General features: G+C 43.0%; 1 protein-coding gene across 5 annotated transcripts in view, besides 4 other annotated features; it reads right to left on the reverse strand.

Annotated features, from left to right (window-relative positions):
• PRKN (parkin RBR E3 ubiquitin protein ligase) overlaps positions 1–25,355 on the reverse strand; it is a 1,380,350-nt gene that overhangs the window by 1,177,473 nt on the left and 177,522 nt on the right. The window lies entirely within an intron of this gene.
• Positions 6,352–7,169: an enhancer, noted in NCBI's record as "H3K27ac-H3K4me1 hESC enhancer chr6:162952273-162953090 (GRCh37/hg19 assembly coordinates)". NCBI's record gives its function as "activates a minimal SCP1, AML or CMV promoter by ChIP-STARR-seq in naive H9 embryonic stem cells {active_cell/tissue: H9 hESC(naive)}" and the evidence as "EXISTENCE:reporter gene assay evidence [ECO:0000049][PMID:30033119]".
• Positions 17,982–18,481: an enhancer, noted in NCBI's record as "H3K4me1 hESC enhancer chr6:162963903-162964402 (GRCh37/hg19 assembly coordinates)". NCBI's record gives its function as "activates a minimal SCP1, AML or CMV promoter by ChIP-STARR-seq in primed H9 embryonic stem cells {active_cell/tissue: H9 hESC(primed)}" and the evidence as "EXISTENCE:reporter gene assay evidence [ECO:0000049][PMID:30033119]".
• Positions 21,122–21,623: an enhancer, noted in NCBI's record as "H3K27ac hESC enhancer chr6:162967043-162967544 (GRCh37/hg19 assembly coordinates)". NCBI's record gives its function as "activates a minimal SCP1, AML or CMV promoter by ChIP-STARR-seq in primed H9 embryonic stem cells {active_cell/tissue: H9 hESC(primed)}" and the evidence as "EXISTENCE:reporter gene assay evidence [ECO:0000049][PMID:30033119]".
• Positions 21,624–22,123: an enhancer, noted in NCBI's record as "H3K27ac hESC enhancer chr6:162967545-162968044 (GRCh37/hg19 assembly coordinates)". NCBI's record gives its function as "activates a minimal SCP1, AML or CMV promoter by ChIP-STARR-seq in naive H9 embryonic stem cells {active_cell/tissue: H9 hESC(naive)}" and the evidence as "EXISTENCE:reporter gene assay evidence [ECO:0000049][PMID:30033119]".

The raw sequence follows: 25,355 nt of genomic DNA on the forward strand, positions 1-25,355 counted from the left end.
TGAAGTCAAAACTATGTGATGTATACTGGCCCCATGTACACTTTTCCATGTGAAATATCACTGATTCTTCAAAATGGAGGTTAAAATGTAAGTGACTGATCTTTCCTCAGAGAATTCCAGAAACAAATATGCTTTCCTACTCTCCAAAGACAGGAAGATGAGCAAAGTGAGAAATAAAATGTCAACTACTTCGATCAAGGATGACACCTGAGTGGGAGGCCCCAGCCCACACCTGGGCTCCAAGCGCCAGTTAGTCCTGCTTAGTCCTAGCTCTGCCCCTTTCTAGCTCTGTGACCCTGAGGAACTCCCTCCACCAAGACCACTCTGACCCTCTGTGTGTGTGTATTTGTTCTCTCTGTAAAAGAGGAACAATAACCTCTTGCCAGGTGCTCTCTGACTTCATCTCCAGCTGCTGTCCCCTGGGTTCAGCTCACTCCAGACTCACGGGCCTTCCTGCTGCCCGGTCCTCCCACCCAACCTCCCCTGAGCCTGAAGGGCCTCTGTACTTCTTTCCTCCCCCTGAAATGCTGGGCCCAGGCTGGCCACATCGCTCACTCCCTCAGAGAGGCCAGGCTTGATCCAAATCCCACCTGCCCCGTGAGGCGTGGCCTCATCTAAAGTCAGAAATTGGCTCCATCTCCTCGACTCCCTCCCACAATTCCAATTTCCCATTCTGCCTTACATTTCTCCTTAGCACTTATGGCCAATACACTATTTAACGACTGTGTGTTCTCTTCCTTCCTTAATTAAATGCAGCCCCACGAGTCAGAGATTTTGGCCAATTTTGTTCACTTCATATTTTTAGGATCCAGTATAGTGTCTGGCATGTAGTAATGCTTAAAAAAATCTGTGGAATAAATAAATGAATGACTCTTCTCCACAAGGTTGTCAAATGAATGAGATGTCATCGGTTAAATCGCTAAGCTGTAAAACATATGATTCACTATTTATTTTTAAATTGTTAATTTATTATTATTCTTTGGAGACAGGGTCTCACTCCATTGCCCAGGCTGGAGTGCAATGGTGCAATCACGGCCCACTGCAGCCCCGACCTCCCAGGCTCAGGTGATTCTCCCACCTCTCAGCTTCAGACTACAGGTGCAAAACCACACCCAGCTAATTTTTATATTTCTTGTAAAGCTGGGGTTTCACTATGTTGCCTAGGTTGGTCAAAATTTCTGAGGCTCAAGCGATCCGCCTGCCTTGGCCTCCCAAAGTGCAGGGATTACAGGCATGAGCCACTGCACCCAGCCTTTTAATTTATTTTAACATTCTGTTCATGAAATAAAATGTAGATGACAAACTATCGGAGTCAAGGTAAAAATAATTAAATAGAAATTAGTTATAAGAACTATAATGCAGAACCTCCACAAGGCTAAGGGAAAAAAAAAAACAACTACTACAAAATACTTGGTATCATTAGAAGTAAAAAAAAAAAAAAATCAGAAAACAGTCAAAAGCTTAAAAATGAACCAAAGGTGGCCGGGCACGGTGGGTCACGCCTGTAATCCCAGCACTTTGGGAGGCCGAGGCGGGCAGATCATGAGGTCAGAAGTTCAACTCCAGCCTGGCCAACATAGTAAAAACCCATCTCTACTAAAAATACAAAAACTAGCCGGGCCTGGTGGCGCATGCCTGCAGTCCCAGCTACTCAGGAGGCTGAGGCAGGAGAATCATTTGAACCCGGGAGGCGGAGGTTGCAGTGAGCCGAGATCGCGCTTTAAAAAAAAAAAAAAGTACTGAAGGTTTGTGGATTAAACCAGAGCTGTGACCTCTGGACCAAAGTAATAAAAGTCCAGCCCATAGCCTGGTAGAAGATAGCTAGATGGAAGAAAAAGAAAAGCTGCATAAGAGAATAACAACAGGCCCAGAGAGGCCTGGAGACAGAGGAAAACACAGAGGATTAGATTTTCAGAAGCTGTGGACTTAAGCAATAAAAAGTCTATCAAAGTGTACCTTGTTGATGTATGGCACGTGGCTAATAATTCCTAGGTTAGCCCTTTAAGACACATTGAAAGATGGGTCACTCCCTAAGTATGACATGATGAAATGAAACTGTGTAGACCATCAAGCACCAGGGGAAAATAACCTGTGTGAGGCTTGAGCTTTTCTAAGAGAGAAAACAAGATAAAAAAATAAAAACAAAGCCCACAACACAAATAAACAGGATTTACTCTACAAAACAAAGCTCACATTTGCATATACTAAGGCTTGTTCTCTGCTTAATCGAAGGTAGGAGGAGCCAGGGTGATTGGCTCTCTCCCTGAGAACTTGAACTTTGCTTCAGAGGGCAGTTTCTAGCAAGGATGAGCACTGTTTCTGATCTGAAACCGGGATAAAACATAACTGAGTATCCACAGCTCAGAGCAAGACCGACAAGCAAGACGCATAGTTACAGTGAGTGTATGATAGAGCTAATCTGCATTTTAAATTCGCACATAACAGTCTTCGAAGGTATGCAAAAACCGTTTTCACCAACAGGAAAATCCAAAATAAGTACATTCGAGGATTTTTTTTTCCACAAAATAAAATAGTTACAAAGGTTGAATAAAAAATTATCTAAGTGAAAATCACTTCATACTGGGAATATAAATCTCTGGTTCTTTGGTAAATAAAATTAACAAGAATTATTCAACTAGAACTATCAGCATATAGGTTTCTAGGTTTCTAGATGAACAGTTTACTAACTGGGTCACGTATAAAGGTCAAACCAGTTTCTTCGTTACGACTGGTTAAAACTGATCGAATAAAAAACAAATCTGCTATCAGCTGATAAATACTAACTTTAACAAAGGCTCAGTACATGTAGACATGGTCCATGTGTGTTTTAATTTTTAAAAGGAGTGAGGAGGGAATAGGAGAAAGCAATATAGCTCTCATCAGCACTTTCTTCCCATCAGGCGCTTTACATACAGTCGCTCCTTTTAATCTCATATCCACCCTGGGAAGGAGAATTAGGACATTACAGTTAAGCCACCTGCCCAAGGCCACATTAACAAGTGACAATGGCTGGTTCTGCTGGATCCAGCCTGGGCCTCCTTCCACCACCAATCTCAGAGGCATGGCCCAAAGAGACAGCTCAGTCTTCAGGAACAATCAACTGAATTTAATATTTACTCAGGGCCAGGTGTGGTGGCTCATGATTGTAATCCCAGCACTTTGGGAGGTCGGGGGAGGGCGGGGGGGCGGGAGGGGTGCGGGGCGGCGGGTCACCTGAGGTCAGGACTTCAAGACCAGCCTGGCTAACACGGTGAAACCCTGTTTCTACTAAAAATACAAAAAATTAGCCAGGCGTGGTGGTGGGTGCCTGTAATCCCAGCTACTTGGGAGGCTGAGGCAGGAGAATCGCTTGAACCCGGGAGGTGGAGGTTGCAGTGAGCCGAGATTGTACCTCTGCACTCCAGCCTGGGTGAAGTGAAACTCCGTCTCAAAAGAAAAAAAAAAAAATTTACTCAGATAAACCAAACAGGAAGTACAAGGCAGGACTCAAGACAAGTTATAATAGAAGAGCAAAGATCAGTAAGAAATAAATATAAATAATAGTTACATAATTTACAGAAAATAGTCATTAAACTGCATTCAAGCCAAGATATAAATTACTTAGAAGATTCTATTCACAAAATATTTTAACTTCTCCTTGAAGGTTAGTATTGTCTTATTTAGTGTAAATTTAAAGTATCATGTACGCAACACCACAGAAAAGATACTGTCTGGAAGCTAAGACATTACTAATTAAATGCAAAGAGTTGATATGAAAAGGAAGTAAAATAACCTAGAAGATGGGGCACGGTGGCAAGGCTGAGGCAGTCAGATTGATTCTACGAGTCCTGAAGTTTGAGGTTACAGTGAACTATGATCCCACAGCGCCACTGAACTCCAGCCTGGATGACAGAGTGAGATCCTGTCTCTAATTAAAACAAAACAAAACAAAACAAAACAAAAACCTAGAAGAGAGTAACAGCACCATACTCAGCTTTCTCAGCTTTTTACTTATTTATTTTTTTTGGAGACGGAGTCTTGATGTGTCGCCCAGGCTGGAGTGCAGTGGCGTGATCTCGGCTCACTGCAACCTCCACCTCCTGGGTTCAAGCAATTCTAGTGCCTTAGCCTCCCAAGAAGCTGGACTGTCATGCACCATCACACCGAGCTAATTTTTGTATTTTCAGTAGAGATGGGGTTTCACCATGTTGGCCTGGCTGGTCTCGAATTCCTGTCCTCAAGCAATCTGCCCACCTCGGTCTCCTCAAGTGTTGGGATTACTGGCATGAGCCACTGTGCCGGTCCATACTTAGCTTTTTTTAGTGATACATTTATACTGATTAGTTTAATTCTAACTTGATGGGAAAAAAATTAGTAGTTGGGAATGAATGTATAAAAATACTTCATTCAATAGTTACAATTATTCATTACATTTAAAATATCCTTACACCTGAAGGGAACTAGAAAAGCATGCCTATATATTCTAAATTTCTTTTTCTCCTCCACACTCTCCAAATTCCCCTGCCAAAACAGAATATTGATATTACAATGGAAAATTATAAAGACGATATACTATGAAAGTTCTTAATATTCATTCATTCTGAGTTTCTTAAAATGTATAGAAAGATGGCCCAAACACCTCTGTGTTCTGCAGCAGGCAGGTCTATGCAACCCACCCGCCAAGTTCGAGGAAGCTGAGCTGACCCATCCAGTCTCTCGAAAAGAAACATTTAATAGGGACTTACGGACAGAAGCCATGTCTCAGGCAGCAGTGAGGCCAGATAGTGGATTCCTGTGCTGCTACCCACCACACCCAGGGCTTATATACCCTAGGAAAGGAATGTGTAGGACAACTGAAGTCCATCCCTAGGGAAAGGCAAGAATGCTACATCAACCTATGTAAGGGCAGGGTTTATGGTCAAGGTTGTTTTGACCTAAGGCCAGGATTTATAGCAACAGTAGATAAAGTAAAAATCTTAAGCTGGGCGTGGTGGCTCATGCCTGTAATCCCAGCACTTTGGGAGGCCGAGGCAGGCAGATCACCCGAGGTCGGGAGTTCAAGACCATCCTTACCAACATGGAGAAACCCCCGTCTCTACTACAAATACAAAATTAGCCGGGCGTGATGGCACATGTCTGTAATCCCAGCTACTCAGGAGGCTGAGGTGGGAGAATTGCTTGAACCTGGGAGGTGGAGGTTGCAGTGAGCCAAGATCACGCCATTGCACTCCAGCCTGGGCAACAAGAGCGAAACTAACTCAGTCTCAATAAAAAAAAAAAAAAAAAGTAAAAAAGTAGAGGCATTCCCAGGAGTTAATTATTAGTTAACATGATTAGCATCCAAGATGGATTTGCCTGGAAATGGAAGTGGGATGGGGCGGAGAATTATCTTCATTTGTATCACTTGAGGAATAGCTGAGTGAAAACTTGCTGTAGGCAGCTGGGTACTCAGGTTAGACTTTGAAGACTCACTTAGGGGCTAGATTTAGAGAACTGCCGCTTAATGGCTCATAGTCAGAAGTCAAAGCCACATTGAAATTAAACAGACTGCCATAAAACAGTGTGGCCTAGTTGAAAGACAAAGAATCTGAAGTGAGAAGTTCCGGGTTAAAGTCCGAGACCCACCATTACCAGCCATTTCCTTGGGTGAATATTTAAATCTCCAGTCTCAGTTTCCTCGTCTGCAGAATGAAGAACACAGTCTGCCTCCCTGGGAGCAGAAATACATCTACCACTTAGGGTTGCTGTGAGAATGCAGTGAGAAAAGCACTGGAAAGCGTCTTATGAAGTCCAAGTCATGCATGAGGGATCGCTATTAGCAGCATGTTTAATGGAATATATGTTCTCAATTCAAATGACAGAGACTCGCATCCTAAAATTTAAAGAAAAGTAAGTTAAAAAGTATAAGCCTGGCGCAGTGGCTCACGCCCATAATCCTGGTACTTTGGGAAGCCGAGGTGGGTGGAATGCCTGAGCTCAGGAATTTGAGACCAGCCTGTGCAACATGGTGAAACCCTGTCTCTACTAAAATACAAATAATTAGCAGGGCATGGCCGCGTGTGCCTGTGGTCCCAGTTACTTGGTAGCCTGAGGCAGGAGAATTGCTTGAACCCGGGAGGCGGAGATTGCAGTAAACCAAGATCACACCACTGCACTCCGGCCTGGGTAACAGAGCAAGACTCCATCTCCAAAAAAAAAAAAAAAAAAAAATGTACAGGCCAGGCGTGGTGGTTCACGCCTGTAATCCCAGCACTTTGGGAAACCGAGGTGGGTGGATCACCTGAGGTCAGTAGTTTCAGAGCAGCCTGGCCAAACCCCATCTCTACTAAACATACAAAAATTAGCTGGGGGTGGTGGTACATGCCTGTAATCCCAGCTACTCGGGAGGCTGAGGCAGGAGAATCTCTTGTGTAACCGTCAAGGGGTTCACCTTGCTCGCTGCCTAGACAGAGCCGATTCATCACAACAGGGGAATTGCGGAATTGCAATAGAGAAAGAGTAATTCACGCAGAGCCGGCTGTGCGGGAGACCTGAGTTTTATAATTACTCAAATCAGTCTCCCCAAGCATTCAGGGAGCAGAGTGTTTAAGGATAACTTGGTGGGTGGGGGGAAGCCAGTGAGCCAGGAGTGCTGATTGGCCAGAGATGAAATCATAGGACCCGGAGCTGTCTTCCTGCATTCAGTCAGTTCCTAGGTGGGAGCACAAGATCAGATAAGCCAGTTAATCCATCTGGGTGGGGCCAGCTGATCCATCAAGTGCAGGGTCTGCAAATATCTCAAGCACTGATCTTAGAGGCAGTTTAGGGAGGGTCAGAATCTTGTAGGCTCCAGCTGCATGACTCCTAAACCGTAATTTCTAATCTTGTCGCTAATGGTAGTCCTACAAAGGCAATCTAGTCCCCAGGCAAGAAGGAGGTCTGCTTTGGGAAAGGGATGTTACAATCTTGATAAACTGTCTAAGTCATAATTTTGCAAAGGTGGTTTCACTTGAACCCAGGAGGCAGAGGCTGCAGTGAGCCGAGATTGTGCCACTGCACTCCAGTCTGGGCAACACAGCCAGACTCTGACTCCAAAAAAAAAAAAAAAAAATGTAACAAAACTTACTTTATCTACATTTGGCCACAGTGTTGTAAACCTTCTAACATTCTTTACAACAGCACCTAAGGCAACGACAGGTTCTTAGCGTCAACCACATCTTCACTTTGGCCTACAGCAAAATATATTTCCCCTATTTACCCAAATGGAAGAAGTTTCCCCTGAATTGTGTTTTTAAGGTATCTCCCCCCAACTCCTCTCTCCAGATAGCACAAATCCAAGTATGTCCCTAGACTCCCAAGAGCTGCTTTTATGGACTATAAAACTAGCAACCTAGCTTTCCACAAACATCTTTACTGCTATTAGTGAAAATATGCACTTATGATATATGCACGCACACAAGCATATTCCTGTCACCTTACAGAGCTAAGTCTACATCACGGAGACGTGAGCACACATCTCATAGTGCACATCGTTACACATCCCCCCAGGGGCTGACAGGCAGGGGCTTGGTTTTATCTTTGCTTCATCTCTTGCACTTTAAGAGTCCCTTGGGTAGTATCTTTTTTGTGCTCAGGTTTGATATTTCTTACTCAGTCTTTATGATGTCTGACTGAAAGCTCAATGGCTCAAGATGTCCTCGAGGGTGCTAATGTTTTTATCTCTGTGTCCTAGCACCCTGCCCACTCTGTTCCCTACAAATGTTGAGTGAATTAACTTCCGTCTGAATTAATAAGAAATGTAAACCACTTGTGATAAAAAATAATCTATCTCTTCCACACAAAAGGTCAGTGTAAATCTGGATTCTGAACACAGACTAGATTGAACAAAGATTTCTTATCTGTATCGGAAGCAAAACTGAGTATGGTGTTTTGTACAAGGAACAAAGGAAATAGCTACACCTCTCCTACTGTAGACGTCACTGAAAAAGTCTGTTTCTCTCCCTGGGGGGATACTGTAAACTCAGTAGCCAGCACTCAATACTGTTGCCAGAAGCAGGAACTGGAAGTCATCATTCTAAGTCGCCTTTAATAAAGCAGAAAAGATGCAATAATGTCTTGGCAATGTCAGTTCCCAAACACTGACAACCTAAACTACATCTTCTGGCCCTAGGTGCTTATCGGCTGTACTGACGTGCTTCACATTTTATAATGTTGGTAAAATGAGGGAAGGCCTGTGGCTCTCAAATTCTTGTATCTGCTTAGCTAATTCCAACCCATTATTGTAAGCAGCAACAACAGAGGAAGGACAGTCTCTCAAGACTGAGCACTCATGTTTTACCCAGTTACAATGCTATTGTTCTCTGGGTGAATCAGTTTTAAAGTAAATACATTTATGGCTGGGCGCGGTGGCTCACGCCTATAATCCCAGCACTTTGGGAGGCCAAGGTGGGTGGGTCAGTTGAGGTCAGGAGTTCGAGACCAGCATGGCTGACATAGTGAAACCCTGTCTCTACTATAAATACAAAAAAAAGTTAGCAGGGCATGGTGGCAGGGGCCTGTAATCCCAGCTACTTGGGGAGCTGAGACAGGAGAATTGTTTGAACCCAGGAGGTGGAGGTTGCAGTGAGCCAAGATCGCACCACTGCACTCAAGCCTGGGTGACACAGTGAGACTCCGTCTCAAAAAAAGACAAAAAATCCATCTTCAATAGAGGCAATGTGGTGCATTACAAAGGGGATGAGTGAAAACAGGCTGGCTTCAAATGCGGGTTTTACACTTTACCAACTCAGTGATCTTGCCCAAAATACTTTGTCTGAGCATGTATTTTCTATCTTATAAAAAGAGATATATGCCGAGCACACACCTGTAATCCCAACACTTTGGGAGGCCGAGGCGGGCGGATCACCTGAGGTCAGGAGTTCGAGATCAGCCTGGCCAACATGGTAAAACCCCATCTCCACTAAAAATACAAAAATTAGCCAAACACAGTGGCACACATCTGTAATCCCAGTTACTTGGGAGGCTGAGGCTGGAGAATCACTTGAACCCAGGAGGCAGAGGTTGCAGTGAGCCGAGATTGCACCAATGCACTCTGGACTGGGTGACAGAGCCAGACTCCATCTCAAAAAAAAAAAAAAAAAAGAGATATGAAGGAGGATTAATAAGACAAATGTACATAAAATATTTCACACAGGCCCACATCATGAAATCCCAGATGTTAGTCATACATCATCTGCCTAAGTCTTTGAATATTTGGGGCATGCAAAACAAACCAAAAAGGAGTTGCCTATTGAAGAAAAGGCAAATGTCTTGACATGATGTTCAGATCTTATGTGATTCTTCGCCATCTTACGCTAGCAGGTTGATGTCTTTGTCTTCCCCCACAGCTCTACTCCAGTTGAACCGGGGTAGGCGTACTCTCTAAGCTACTTCATGTCTCTCCACTTCCAGAAGCTTCTTCCTGCTGGTACCTCTGTCCCCATCTCTCAGGACTCCATCTGCCATGACCCTTTCATGATTCCACTGAGAAGTTACTTTTCTTTTTCCCTTCTTTGAACATCGAAAGCATGCTGTGCCTCTTTACGGTAGTTCTTTTACAACTTGGCACGGTGCTTTGCAATGTAATCACTTGATTACAAGTTTCATTTTCTTCATTAGACCGCACACTCCTTGAAGTTTATATGGCTTTATTTTTTGCACAGAGTAGTTATTCAATATACACTGACTGAATATATTTTAAAACTTCAGGGAGTAATTAAATCAGCCAAAGTAAATTTAGTCTACACATACATTTATAGAATGTACACCATCTCCAGCCTCAGACAACTGCACTCAAGTTGCCCCTTTCCCGAGCCACTTTCTGGCTAATTGCTAAACATGTTTCCACCAGATCTGCCCCTCCAGCTGCCTGCAGCTCCAGTAGAGGCTGTGTGGAGAAGAGCCATGCAGACTGCATCTGTAAGGTCCTGCCTGTGCACTTTCCGCTTCCCAAATGAGGACAGAGAGCACTCCTGCCAGCTACCAGGCAGGGCCCAATTTCTAAACTCTGCCTTGACCCCCTGCCTTCCCATCAGAGGAGAAGCATCCTTACCTAAGAACACTACTTCTTCAATGACCAGTCTTCCTTCCCCAGTTCTCTTCCTTCCCCAGTCCTCTTCCATCCCCAGTCCTCTTCCATCCCCAGTCCTCTTCCATCCCCAGTCCTCTTCCTGGGGGTATGAGAAAAAACTCTTAACAGGTGCTGGCTAAAGGGAAGCCCAGGGTCTCCAAGATCTATATCTCACCAGAGTCCTTCACAGCAGTGCCAGTCGGAGTTGGCTGTGTTCATGTTCCCCAAGCTATCACTTGCTCGGTCTTTCTGCAGCTCAGAGGGGATGGCTGGACTACCAATCCTAATGGGTTGGGACCTTTCTGCAAACTCCAGTCTCCCCATCTGCCCTGGTCCTGCCTTGTTAGACAGTTCTCAGTTTGAGTTCAGATAACTTTTAGAGTCCCTGGTTCCTATTATAATACTTAATATTTTGTCCAATGTCTTTCTTCATCATATATATGCATATATATGTACATATATACCTGAAAATACACACATATATAATGACCTCATGCAAGATCATCTGTCTCTCAGAGTACCCATTTCCTATATATGAATAGATGGTGTGTGTGTGTCTATATATATATAAATCAAATGACTGTTTTGTATTTATCCCACTCAATCATCCATATTCATAAATAATAATATTTCTCTAGCATTCCAGAATCAAAGTTAAAATATGGCATGAGGACCAGGCTCACTGCCTCATGCCTGTAATCCCAGCACTTTGGGAGGCCGAGGTGGGCAGATCTCTTGAGCTCAGGAGTTTGAGACCAGCCTGGCAACATGGAGAAACTCCCTTTTTACCAAAAATAGAAAAAATTAGCCGGGCACGGTGGTACATGCCTATAATCCCAGCTACTCAGGAGACTGAGTAGGAGGATTGCTTGAGCCTGGGAGGCAGAGGTTGCAATGAACCAAGATCGCACCACTGCACTCCAACCTGGGTGACAGAATGAGACCCTGTCTCAAAAAAAAAAAAAAAGAATTTGGTCTGAGCCTGGTCAGCACTGGTCTGATGTACTGAAAACCATCTCCTAAACTTCTCTCTCCAACAACAATTAAGTACCTTATTTACACATCAAACTATAGCAAAAACATCAATGACAAGTACAACATCTGACTGTTCCATGAAGATGGTAGGACTGTTCCCAAAGCTTTCTGCTTACAACTTAAGGCCAAACCAAAGAGCCGTGGTTCTCCTGCACTAAAATGGTTTCAGCCTATTTCCAGTCATGCTGCTTTACTAACAAACTATAATGAACTACTGTAAAACATGTGTGCTATACTTCACTCAGCAATGCCTTCACTATAAGATGTTGAAAATCTGTGTTTCTGGATGCATAAAAATGACAAGCAGAAGGTGTTATTTTCTATTCTAAGGGTCCAGAACAAAAGAATGTGCTTTCATTGTGACTAAGGAAGTATTCTGCACAGACCAATATAATCTTCTACTCACAATGTTTCCAGTTCCTTTGGGTACCTGGTGTCATTTTAGCTCTGAGTTATGTATTAAGGTCACCTGCTTTAAAAAAAATAAAGACAACACATGGAACTCAGTAGAGAAAGTGAAGTTTCTTGCTGCATCTCCTTCGAGCCATCTTCCCTGCTTGTCTGTAGGGATTCCACTGTGCTATCTCACCTACCTACCTACTCCTCTCATTGCCATCGATGCTGTGATACCGGCAAACTTCTTTATGGCTAGGCCTTGCTGTCAGTGAGTTTCCTTAATGATGAAGGTCTCTGCTACCTGAGCAGAAAAGCTCAAGCTCAGCTTGGTCCATGACATTCATATGTGGAGTGTCATGAGTTTACTTTTAAAGAACTGCAAGAAATATGAATAAACACATTTTTTTGAAGCCTATGTTCAATTACAGCACTTCAAAGATGCTGTAGGAAAAGCTGAAGTATAACACAGCATGCAAAGATGCATTGATTTCTTTCTCCAAATCACATGTAACATATGTAAGTCTATACATATATGCATACATATATATGTACACCAAAGTTTAAGAAATAGATGGTTGTTGACCAATTGTATGTTTTTAAAGAGTTTTCTAACAATTATATTAGATATTTTATAACTTTTAAAAATTTACTTCGAAAAGATTCTCATAAATCTCCCAGAGAAGGCTTAGAAGGCTGGCTTCAAACTCCAGTTGCCTGAACTAGGTACAGAGAAGGCTGAGATGACAGCAGTTTCTAGCCCTGGCTGCACATCACAGTCACCTGGGGAGCTTTCAAAACTATTAAACAGCAAAATATCTGACACACAGTAGCTAATCAATACACGGAAATTTCTCTGTTTTCCCTTCCACCCTATATCCAATCCCATATTTCCCAAAATGCCTACAGAGCATACTCTGCCATCTCACTAGCACCTCACTCCGTAGCCTAAAGCTTCCAACAAGTATCACCACATGTTCCCGCTTCTTTGCTCAGGCCCAGTGAGTTGCCAGGGGTTTCCGCATCACCTATATTTTATGCCTGTTTCTTCCTCGTGTTCCCTGTCACCTGGCATAATGGTCTTGAACTGTCTTCCCACTTTAGGCCCACAGTTTCCTCCCTGCAGCCTGGGGGATCTCTCCACAGTGCACGTGTGATCGCATCTTTCCCACTGCCACCTCCTCCAAGGCAATCTGCCGGCAGGGATCTCCCTGTCTCTGTACTTCTGTCTCCATGTTCCCCTTTCTGGGACCCTATATTGCAGGCAAACAGAATCAGACAGAATGTGTGAAATAGATGACTCCTGCAATCTTGTCCTGTCCCTATTTCTACATCAGCTTCCTGTAGATGTTTCCTCTTTCCCATCTCCTGTTCTCTCCACCAGCAGTGTCCATCTCCATGTCAACTGTTCCCTTCCCAAGGCCCTTGTCACTTATGTGTATGTGGGATGCTTTAATATTTATAGGAAGACTTGTGTTGGTGAAAACACAAGTCATCAGGTTCATTGTGGGATTTATTCAAGGGCTTGCCTTCTCTCTTAAGTCTACATTTGTGGATTCTCTTCTTAAACTACATTACCCCAAACACCCAGTGGACAGCTACGACATTATTGTTTTGTTTTGATACTGGTATAAATATAGTCATCTTCTCAACTGAATATATCTCTTCCATAAAAATTCATGTAAGAGCAAAATATAATTTCAAAAGTCAAAGTTGGAAATACCCAAATACCTCGGCGGGTGCGGTGGCTCACGCCTGTAATCCCAGCACTTTGAGAGGCCAAGGCGGGTGGATCACTTGAGGTCAGGAGTTTCAGACCAGCCTGGCCAACATGGTGAAAACCTGCTCTACCAAAAATACAAAAATTAGCTGACATGATGGCACAGGCCTGTAATCCAAGCTACAAAGGAGACTGAGGCAGGAGAATAGCTTGAACCTGGGATGAGGAGGTTGCACTGAGCTGAGATTGTGTCACTGCACTGCAGCCTGGGTGACAGAGCCAAACTCTGTCTCTAAATAAATAAATAAAATTAAAAAAAAGAAAAGAAGTATCTAAATACCTAAAGGCAACACAACTTAAAAAACCATCATTATTCATCATACTAAAATTACATGTCTTCATGAAAAACAAGTGGCAGAAAGTTTGGTGTGCTATGTGGTGCAGAAATTCATCCAGTAGTCAGTCCTGCCCAGACTGATTCCATGTTTTTGTATTTTCTCATAGCTGAAAATATTAAATCCAGACAGAATCTCTGAGGCAACGACCGCGTGTGGGAAGTCAGCCTATTTAACTTGAGATCAACCGATCTACAGAGTATGCACATGGCTCTCTTGTAAAGAGGTGAGAAAAGATTTCAAAAAGCACTGTCGTCAGCAGAAAGGACCTTTACAGCCAGATGAAGCTCTGGTTGTTTTCAGCCACTTTCCTCTGCTGGGGAAAAGGCACATTAAAAAGACACAGCTGTCTATTTCAGTGTACACATGCTTGGTAGCATGGGTGTTATTTACTGATAAAAAGCACATGACAGCAATTTTAAAACAGGGCTTGTCCTGTCAGTCAAATTAGAGAGGCAGGATGTCCTCTCCAAGTGATTACCGTGGGGGCCCACAATGTGGCGGCCTGCCAGGTCAATTACAGCAGGGCTGTGAGGACACATGAAGAAGGATCGCCTTAATTCTAAACAGGAGCATCAGTAAAATAGAAACCAGGGGACATATTAACACAATGAACAATACCTTAAGACTGTGGCTTTGGCTAGAGCTGTAAAATGTATTTATATTGAGTGTTTCTCCATGTAAACATTTTTTTTTTAATTAACGAGAATGAATGTATAGGAATACAATTGCAAAATAACATTTGTATATTTCTGGAGAAAAACATTTCTCAAAGGAAAATTGGGATGCTATAATTTTCATCTCATCAAGAAAATTAGACACATGGGTAAATTAGCATTTGGAAACCTGACCAATGATATTTCATAATTGTTCATGTCCCTGATATGTCAATTTGCCTTCCATTTCTCCTATACTAAGATTAATTTCAGTTTCAAATGTCCTTGTCATTTTTTCTCCTCTCTATTGCACCTACAGCTTCTTTGTCTACAGGAAAAAATATTAAGAGATCAGCAGCATCAGTTGGAGGATTTACATCATCGACTATCTGAATACCAGGGACACATTCCTTTGTTTTACACTCATATTCCAGGAGTCTCATGGAAATGCATTAAACATCAGACAAAAAAATGTAGGCTGCTTGAATCGCAGCTTAATTGTTTAGGAACTAGATCCTGATAGTGCCCCAATAACAGAAGAAAATCCCTATTCACATCTACGTAGAGAAAATACTGGGCTGCTGACACTGAATTTTGCAGCTATGCGAAATTTAATGCTGATTAGTAAACTCTCAAATTAAACAGTGAAAGATTATAAAGACACATGCAAAAGATGTAAATTAAACCCAAAATATCAGAAATACCACAGTCATAATTTCCCACCTACCTAAAGAGTTATTTCTCAAAAAAAAATTGTTGCGAATTTATTTTATTTTGTTTTGTTTTGAGATGGAGTCTCCCTCTGTCGCCCAGGCTAGAGTGCAATGGCCTGATCTCAGCTCACTGCAACCTCCAGGTTCAAGTGGTTCTCCTACCTCAACCTCCCGAGTAGCTGGGATTATAGGCGCCCACCACCATGCCCAGCTAATTTTTGTATTTTTAGTACAGACGGGGTTTCACCAGGTTGGCCAAGCTGCTCTCGAACTCCTGACCTCAGGTGATCCACCCGCCTTGGCCTCCCAAAGTGCTGGGATTACAGGCGTGAGCCACTGCACCCAGCTGAATTTATTTTATTTTTTATTTTTTATTTTTTGAGATAGAGTCTTGCTCTGTCACACAGGCTGAAGTGCAATGGTGTGATCTCAGCTCGCTGCAATCTCTGCCTCACGGGTTCAAGCAATTCTCCTGCCTCAGCCTCCTAAGCCACCATGCCCGGCCATGAATTTAAATAAATTCAAAGATCCCATTAATGTTTATTACAACCCCAATAATATAGGTAGGCAGAATACAATCCTGAAAAAGGTGCCAAAAGTTGAAACAATGTAAGTCAACTCAGTTTCCCCAAGTTAAAATTATAAGAGTATATTAACTGGCTGGGCGTGGTGGCTCATGTCCGTAAGCCCAGCACTCAGGGAGGCTGAGGCAGGTGATCACCTGAGGTCAGGAGTTCGAGACCAGCCTGGCCAACATGGTTAAACCCCGCCTCTACTAAAAATATAAAAATTAGCTGGGCATGGTGGTGGGTGCCTGTAATCCCAGCTACTCTGGAGGCTGAGGCACGAGAATCACTTGAACCCAGGAGGCAGAGGTTGCAGTGAGCCGAGATTGCGCCATTGCACTCCAGCCTGGGTGACAAGAGTGAAACTCTGGCTCAAAAAAAAAAAAAAAAATTAAAAATGATACTAAAGACCTTAGAATTTCTGGACATATCTGTCCAAGTATCTGTCACGTGTCATTCTCACTATACAGAAAACAATCTCTAAAGTCATTGATGTCTACATGTCTAAACTTTTCACCATTTTTGACATCTTAATACTTTTAAATTACAATCCAAGTTAAAAGGGCAATGTAGGATTAGAATAGAAAGAGGTGAGGATTCAGAAATCCTCACATCAATTTCACAACTCCCTGTACGATGGAGGCCTCTCTTCCCTGATTCTTCCTTAGGGTTTTCAAACACGGAGTCCCTCCTAGGTGCCAGAGGTTGTTCTGGGCTCAGGCAGTACAATGGTGTATAAAGCTGCCAAAACCCTTGCCCTCATGTGGGGAGACAGACACGAGGCTGAGTAAGCCACACAATCTGTTAGGATGGTGATGAGTGCGTGGTGCATCATTTCATATAGGGTGATCAGGAAGGCCTCAAGATAAGGTGACATTTCAGGAAGGCCTAAAAGTTGAGGCATGCATCATGCAGATAACTGGGGAGAGCCATCCAGACAGGGAGGGCAAAGGCAGGGGCACAGGGCCAGGGGCCAGCAAAGAGGCCAGTGAGAAAAGGGCCATCCTAGGCTCTGGACTCTACTGCTGCTGGGATGGATGGCCCTGGGGAGTTCTTGCAGAAGAAACATAAGCCAATCACCCAAGGTGACTGTTAAAATGAAAATCCCCAGGCCTCTCAATCTGGACTTCTGATTCAGTAGGTTTGAGGCCCAGGGATTAAGATTTCTTAGTTTGCAGGTAGTTCAGCTGAGAGTGGCCCAAAGAGCATTCTCAGAAACACATTTCTGAATCCCTGATAGTTTGGCATCCCTCCTCTATTTCCTTATTTTTGGTCAGCTGCCCTCTACAACAAGCAGCCATCATTTTGCAGCCGTTTAGCGTTAAACAACTAGGAGAGAGATGATAAGAAGGAATACCCTAAGTATAAGAGTTAAAAACGAAGCCACTTAGTTTTTGTCTAGCAAGAGAGTCTGGCCCCAATATCTTCTGAGCTTTGCTGACATTCAGTGATTGGCTTGTAACTGACAAATGGTTGAATTCTATGAGTATGGGCGTCCTATGACTATCCTGGTCATTGATTTGACTAATGATTCCTGTGCCCTTGGGTTGACTAAAACGCAAGGCTGTTGTGTTTGGTGAGTTTGTTAAGGTGAAGGTCAAGTCAAATATTGACTGCAGAAGTGATATTACAGATACCCAAGTTCCCAGGTTGCGGAAGGTAAGAGAATTCAGATGACAGGGATTACAGGTGCAAAGAAGTAGTCCAATGATCCTAAATATTTTCAGTTCAAGTGCTTCTTTTAGGGATATTACTTAGTATTTCATCTCTTTTCCTTTGATGTCTAGATAGGTATTAAATATTGCAGCAATGAAAACAACTGACATCAGGTGCATTCTCTCTACATTATTTTATTTAATCCTAAAATAGCCCTGTGAGGTAACTACTGTATGGGTTAACCAAAGCCCAGAGATGTTACTTGCCCAAGAGTCACAGGGCTATTAACAGGCAGAATTGAGACTCTAACCTATGTCTGATTAATCCAACACCCATGTCTTAACCACTAAAATATACTGCTCCTTAAATCTATAAGAAACATACTTGCCATAAATGTTTTACATACGGCATTTCCACAAGAGAGCTTAATATTGAGATGCTGGTTAATTATCAGAGACAGCGTGATGCATGAGGAACACTAGTTTTGGAGCAAAACAGATCTGAGGCTCAAATCATTTGACCACTGAATAGCAAATGACTTAATAGGCCTGAGCCCCCAAACCTTCATTCATAGAGAACATTATGTCTCTCAGAAATTTAAGTGAGAAAATAAGTGCAATGCATGGGGCATATAGCACATAGCATAGATACTAATTCCTTCCCTACTGACTTGGAAGCAAACACTGACCATCACCTCCACCTCCACCTCCACCCGGGGCACAGAGCACAGCACTCGCGCAAACCCCCAACAGAGGGTAGAGGGTCATCTCGGTTGGGCTTGGGCTTCTGTAGCGGGGGGCTCACTGCTCCGCCGAGTGCCCTAACCACTGATGGACACCTCCAGCCCCTCTGAGGGTTCTTCCTCCTACTGACCCAATGGTCGACTCCCCCCAGGACTGCTTCTCTGAGGCAACACTGAGCAAACTGACTGCTCTTTCCTAGTGACAGTGCCACTAATAACTGAAGACAGTCAGTTGGTGTCCCCTGGTCTTTCTTTCTCTAAATTAAACATGTCCACTTCAGTCAGAAGTCCCTCTGATCACAATTTCCGAACAACACAGTATCCTAATTTTCCTCTGCTGGGAAAACTCTAGTTTTTCTGTGTCCTTTAATGCCAGGACCAGGGCCAAAAATTGAGATTGACATATTAAGCCAAGAATATGATTGGACTATTACATAGGCTAATCTAGAAAACTCACCTTGATAATCCCAGGCTTCTTGGCTAATCTTAGCGCCTTGGCCCAGAGCAGTCACATCGGCAAAAAATTCCCGCCCACTTCTCCTCCCAGTTCCACCCCTCACAGCAGCTGCTCACATCTTTCCTCCTCCCTTTTTTCCCTCCGAGGCCCTCCCTCAGCCTCTGTTTCATCTCTTCAGGAATCTCCTCTTCCCAGCCCAATCCTAAACCCAGGTAGCCTTTGTTCTAAATTTGTATAAGTGTGTTCTAAGTTCCTCGCCTCCCCAGTCAGCCAGTCAGCTCGGCAAAACAAAAGGACCTTCCCCCAAACCAGCTCTCCTTATTAAGTAGAGGAGGAGAGAGTTCTGTAATACTTGTAATTACTCAGACCCTGTCACACTTTAAGTAACTCAGCCTAAGACCATTATTATACCTGTACTTCATACCGCTGGCTGACCCTGAGCTTGTGGTCAACCCTGAGTCCTAGAGCTTTCATCATCTTAACTCCTGCCCAGGCCAATAGATAGCCTCAATCCTGTTATTGCATACAGTCATGTTTTGGAAAGCTAAACAAACAAAAAAACATGGCAAGGTGCAGGCCCAGCAAAGGGGCCAATGAGAAGAGAGCCGTCCTAGGCCCTGGACCCTCTGAAAGGTTTCTGACTATGAAACCTTTACTTTCATCCCAGGTAAGTCCAATTTTGGTTTAGCAAAATCAAAATTCTTCTTGCAGCTTATTGCAATCATTTCATTTTTGCTTCTGTTATCTCTTGTACTCTACTAGCTCTCCTTTTCGGATTTGTACCTTCTGTGAATGTGGTATGACTTTATGAGGATCATGGACAAAAATGTTGAGAAGAAACTAACCAAGGAAAACTTTTGTTGCATGGATAAATACATAGATGCATATAAAACAGGCAGTACATAATGGATACATAAGCATATAAGATGCTCATAAAATAACACAACCCTGAGGACACACAGAGATGCCAGGTAACATCACTGCACTGAGTCTAATAGTCTTTAGCACTCCCACACGAGCAAACCTGGCTGCAAAATCATGTTACACAGCAACAGAGGAATGCTCATAGCACAGAATTAAATAGAGATTCTAAGTCATGTGAGGGGGCAGCCAGGAAAAAGGGATGTTTATGTTATTTAAGTGACAATGAAAGTTAATTATACAGCACAGGAGACTAGAAAAGCTTTATTTGACGTTGCAGACTTTTAGTGACCACAGAAGCAGTTGTAGGTATTAAAATTTCATCCATCTCAGTGTCATTTATTTACTTTGCCAGATAATCAGTGATCTTGCATTTTTATCTTCTCACTTTAAATGTATGCACAGAATGTTCTCTCCTATGCGATCTCACATTTATTTTATTTTTTATTTACTTTATTGTTGATTTTTTTTTTTTTTTTTTTTTTTGAGACAGAGTCTCGCTCTGTCACCCAAGCTGGAGAGCAGTGGCGCGATGTCGACTCACGGCAACCTCCGCCTCCCGGGTTGAAGCCATTCTCCTGCCTCGGCCTCCTGAGTAGCTGGGATTACAGGCATGTGCCACCACGCCTGGATATTTTTGTATTTTTAGTATAGACAGGGTTTCACCAGGTTGGCCAGGCTGGTCTCCAACTCCTGACCTCAGGTGATCCACCCACCTCAGCCTCCCAAAGCGCTGGGATTACAGGTGTGAGCCACCGCGCCCGGCCTCAAGTTCATTTTAAAATCTGAATTGTCAGCTGGGCATGGTGGCTCACACCTGTAATCCCAGCACTTTGGGAGGCTGAGGTGGACGAATCGTGAGGTCAGGAGTTGGAGACCAGCTTGGCCAACATGGTGAAACCCTGTCTCTACTAAAAATACAAAAAAAATGAGCTGGGTGTAGAGGCAGGAGCCTGTAATCCCAGCTACTTGGGAGGCTGAGGCAGGAAAATCACTTGAACCCAGGAGGCGGAGGTTGCAGTGAGCCAAGATCACGCCACTGCACTCCAGCCTGGGCAACAGAGTGAGACTCCGTCTGAGAAAATAAAAATAAAAAAATTTAAAAAATATCTGAATTGTCCTGGTATTCCATCCAGTATCAGGCTTAAGTTGTCAAGAAGAGATACCAGTCTTGATTTCTGTGAACTGCCAGAATTACACAGAAATTTGCTCCACTTCCCGGAAAAGGCAAATAAAACATACCAGGATTTTAGGTGGTGCAAGTAAGTTGCTTGCCAGAGCAGCCATGGCTACATATAATTTGCCCAATTCCCATCAGGCATTTGGTTATTTAAATTTTAAGCATGCTTGATACAGCGGTCATATTAACCTTCCTTATATATGAGGAAAACATTTCAAGTTATAATTATGTTAATGGTATTCTAATAGTATTTTTAAAAAATTATATAACATTTATTACTCCGAGGAAATTAATGTCAGATGACACTAAAATAATTAAGTTTGAATTAATCACAGATTATATCACTTTGTTCTCTTCAACTTTTAAACATGTTTGATAATTATAATCTAACAAAGGAAAAATTAATAGAGAAAATAAGTCTAAAAATTTTCTCCTCCGAATTGGTAATTGGGGGAACAAAAGATGTGGGCAATTAGCAAATGAATATGGTGCTTCAAGACTGAAGAATTTAGGATATGTAACAGGTGACTTAGTTCAGGGTTGTTCCTAGAGGTAAGAAGTATCAATAGAATTTAAGAGTCTACACTGTTCATTCTATCAGTATATCTTCTATGGCACACAAGAAGCAATGGTTATTCAGTTATCTTAATTTCTTAAGTTATAAAAGTTAAATTTGAGCCAAAAGCAATTACCATGTAAAAGTGTATGCAGTTTTTTTTTTTTTTTTTTTTTGAGACAGAGTCTCACTCTGTTGCTCAGGCTGGAGTGCAGTGGCGTGATCTCAGCTCACTGCAACCTCTGTTTCCTGGGTTCAAGCGATGCTCCTGCCCCAGTCTCCCAAGTACCTGGCATTATAGGCGTGCGCCACCAGGCCCAGCTAAATTTGTATTTTTAGTAGAAACAGGGTTTTACCATGTTGGCCAGGCTGGTCTCGAACTCTTGACCTCAAGTGATCCGCCTGCCTCGGTCTCCCAAAGTGCTGGGATTACAGGCATGAGCTACAGCACCAGGTCGGTGTGCAGTTTTGACCTTGTTATTTGACCAAGGAAAATTTAGCCATTTGAAACAAACTCTTTTTTTTTTTTAAGACTGAGTTTCACTCTTGACACCCTGGTGCGATCTCGGCTCACTGCAACCTCCCCCTCTTGGGTTCAAGCTATTCTCCTGCCTCATCTTCCCAAGTAGCTGGGATTACAGGAGTGTGCCACCACGCCCGGCTAATTTTTGTATTTTTAGTTGAGATGGGGTTTCACCATGCTGGCCAGGATGGTCTCGAACTCCTGACCTCAGGTGATCCACCCTCCTCGGCCTCCCAAAATACTGGGATTACAGGCGTGAGCCACCGCGCCTGGCCCAACACACACTATTTCTTACATTAACTTGATGTCTCCTTTCACCTAACAGAAGCAAAATACACGCCTAATTGAAAGACAGTCAGTGTGTCAGACTGAAACAACCACCACCAAACAACCAAGGCACTGATCAGGAAAACAGCACTTTTCCCTTGATTCTGACTTTTTTTCTCACATACCTTTATTTGCATTATTCATAGGTTTTATCAGAGGTTTATTTCCTTGGGTTAATAATGAAACATTTTTCATTTGTTTCCACCAAGGGGCTTGCTATTCTACTATTGCTTAGAGCTTCGGGTGTCTCCATATGACAAATGCCAAACATATGCCAATCACAACATTCAACTGGTAGCATATGCTGAATTTCCCAGACGCCAGATCCAGTCAGGAACTTTCTGGTTTAATGAGTCTTGCCTATTATGTTTCTGGTACACATCATTACAGAATTTTTCCCCATCTACTTCCAAGAACTAGAATAAACCAGAAGAACAAAACAAACTACAACAAAACCATAATAAATCCTCTCTTCGTTTATCATCTATATGTCACATACGAAATTAGTTACACTAGCAGCATTTACTGAGGGCATGGCAAGATTTACTAAGTCTTGTTTCTCATGTTACAGCCAAATTTTATCAAAGTTGAAAATAACAATATTTTACATCCATATAGTTCTTTGTATTATTTATTTCAAAGGACTTTCAGAACTTTTACCTAATTGGATATTTACAAAAACCCGTCGATTGAAGTAGGCAGCAATTCTTTCTCCCACTTAATAGAGGAGATAAATGAAGCCCAGATAAATTAAGCAGCGCTCCCAATGTCACAGTTAGTTATTATTATTATATTATTTTTTGAGAAGGAGTTTCACTCTTGTTGCCCAGGCTGGAGTGCAATGGCACAATCTCAGCTCACTGCAACCTCTGCCTCCTGGGTTCAGGCGATTCTCCTGCCTCAGCCTCCCAAGTAGCTGGGATTACAGGCACACACCACCACAATGGGCTAATTTTTGTATTTTTAGTAGAGACGGGGGTTTCAACATGTTGGCCAGGGTGGTCTTGAACTCCTGACCTCAGGAGATACATCCACTTTAGCCTCCCAAACTGCTGGGATTATAGGCATGAGCCACCGTGCCTGGCCAACAGTTATTAACAGGGCCAAGATCCGATAAGAAGTTGCCTTGAACCTCACATCCACTGGTCTCCCACTATTCCTCATTAGGCTGTGCCAAGGACACAAAGTCAGCAGGGATCGAGACACCATTAACCTCCCTCCTGACACTGGAAGGTGGCCCCTACTTCCTCTCTGAGTTTTTTGTTTTTGTTTTTGTTTTTGTTGAGACGGAGTCTCGCTCTGTCACCAGGCTCGTGTGCAGTGGCGCAATTTTGGCTCACTGCAACCTCCACCTCCCAGGTTCAAGTGATTCTCCTGCCTCAGCCTCCTGAGTAGCTAGGACTACAGGTGCACGCCACTACGCCCAGCTAATTTTTGTATTTTTAGTAGAGATGGGTTTCACCATGTTGGCCAGGATGATCTCAATCTCTTGACCTCATGATCCGCCTGCCTCAGCCTCCCAAAGCGCTGAAATTACAGGCGTGAGCCACCGTGCCTGGTCCTCTCTCTGATAGTTTTTTAAACATTCAGAAAAATGTGAATGCATACTTAGGTTTCTGCCTATATTTCCTGAGAGAAAATCATGCCTCAACATCAAACGCAAAGATCAGTCTTAAATCTGGACCCAGGAACAGGAATTCTCCTAATTAAGCACATAATCCCATTTATCTCTCTAGAAACAACTGACATTCAAATAATGCTTCATTTCGTTTGTAAATACTAGTTAGATGGATTGTAATACAAACCAAAGAGACATTAATACAATTGTCCATTTCCTTTGGAAGGATGGCTATCCTTCCTATTTAAGCTAAAAGACATTTTCATTTGAAAGCCATTTGAGCTTGAGCTGCAATGAGCTCAGGTGCAAATTTCTTGATGAACGAGTCTAATAATGACACAAAATTTCAAAAAGACCAAGAGCTATTTCATGGATTATTTCCTGTGGCAATCATCTCAAGTTAAATAACTTGACATTTTAGAAATGGCATTGGGTAAATAACTCTCGGGTGCTTTTTTCACTGGTCCGCTCACTCCCCTTATCTTCCTGCTGACTAAGGAAGGTAAAGGGTATCCTCCACAGGAGGTGGGAATTCTTGGTCCTTTGAGGTAAAGGGATTTCCCATCATATCGTTCCATCTGAGGCTGTTATGGACTCAATCTTCCCCTCACATTTATATGTTGAAATCCTGCCCCCCCAAGATGATGGTATTAGGAGGTAGGGCATTCGGAGGGTTATTAGGGCACAAGGGTAGAACCCTCATGAGTGGGATTAGAGATCCCAGAAGCTAGCTCTGCCTCCTTCCTCAGTGTGAGGACACCCCCAGAAGACGGCCATCTTCAACCCAGAAGACGGCCCTCCTTCAAACCCAGAACTTGCGGACACCTGACTTCCAGCCTGACTTCCAGCCTCCAGCAGTGTGAGAAATACAGTTCTGCTGTTTATAAGCCGTCTATGGTAATTTGTTACAGAAGCCCAAACTGACCAAAACACAGGTTTCTATGAAGTTTGTTTTGAGAAACAGAAAAATGCTTGGTAGTTCTGCTATTGGTTATCATTTCTCAGACATTATAAAAATTATGTCAACAGCACCCTCGACATGTTATCTCTGGACAAACTGATGTGCTTCTAGAATTTTGAATTTATTTACTTAACTTTTATTATTAGCGATTAGTTTCTACACACGTTTGCAAAGACGGATAAAATCAGAGCCCTACCATTGAGTAGATAACAGCCTAGCAGGGGAGGTAGAAAGACAAAACTAATAGTAATAGAATGCGATAATCTTTTTTTTTTTTTTTTTTTGACCGAGTCTTGCTCTGTGGCCCAGGCTGAAGTGCAGTGGTGCAATCTCGACTCACTGCAACCGCTGCCTCCTGAGTTCAAGTGATTCTCCTGCCTCAGCCTCCCAAGTAGCTGGGACTACAGGCATATGACACCATGCCTGGCTAATTTTTGTACTTTTAGTAGAGACGAGGTTTCACCACGTTGGCCAGGCTGTCTCCAACTCCTGCCCTCAGGTGATCATCTGCCTCGGCCTCCCAAAGTGCTGGGATTGCAGGCGTGAGCCACCGCACCCAGCCAATAATCTCTTTAATAGGGATTAATGTAAAACAAAAAGAAAAAGCCACACAGTGGATGATGAAGCTAAATATGTCTCACCGTTTGTCTGGTGTTTTATAGAGGTGGTAAAATTTCAGTTGGTGGTTCCTAATAATATCACCTTCACAATAGAAAATAAAGATCTATGTGCAGATAGGTTAAGGTTACTCCAGTGATCAAGGTAGTGTAAAGGATAAAGTAAGAATGATAATAATAATGAGTATGTAGCTAAAAGTCAAGGATTGTAAAATATCACAGTAGCTTCGGCCTTTAGGTGGAACGAAGCCTG

This window comes from Homo sapiens, chromosome 6 (assembly GCF_000001405.40).
Source record: "Homo sapiens chromosome 6, GRCh38.p14 Primary Assembly".
NCBI classification, from domain to species: Eukaryota; Metazoa; Chordata; class Mammalia; order Primates; family Hominidae; genus Homo; species Homo sapiens.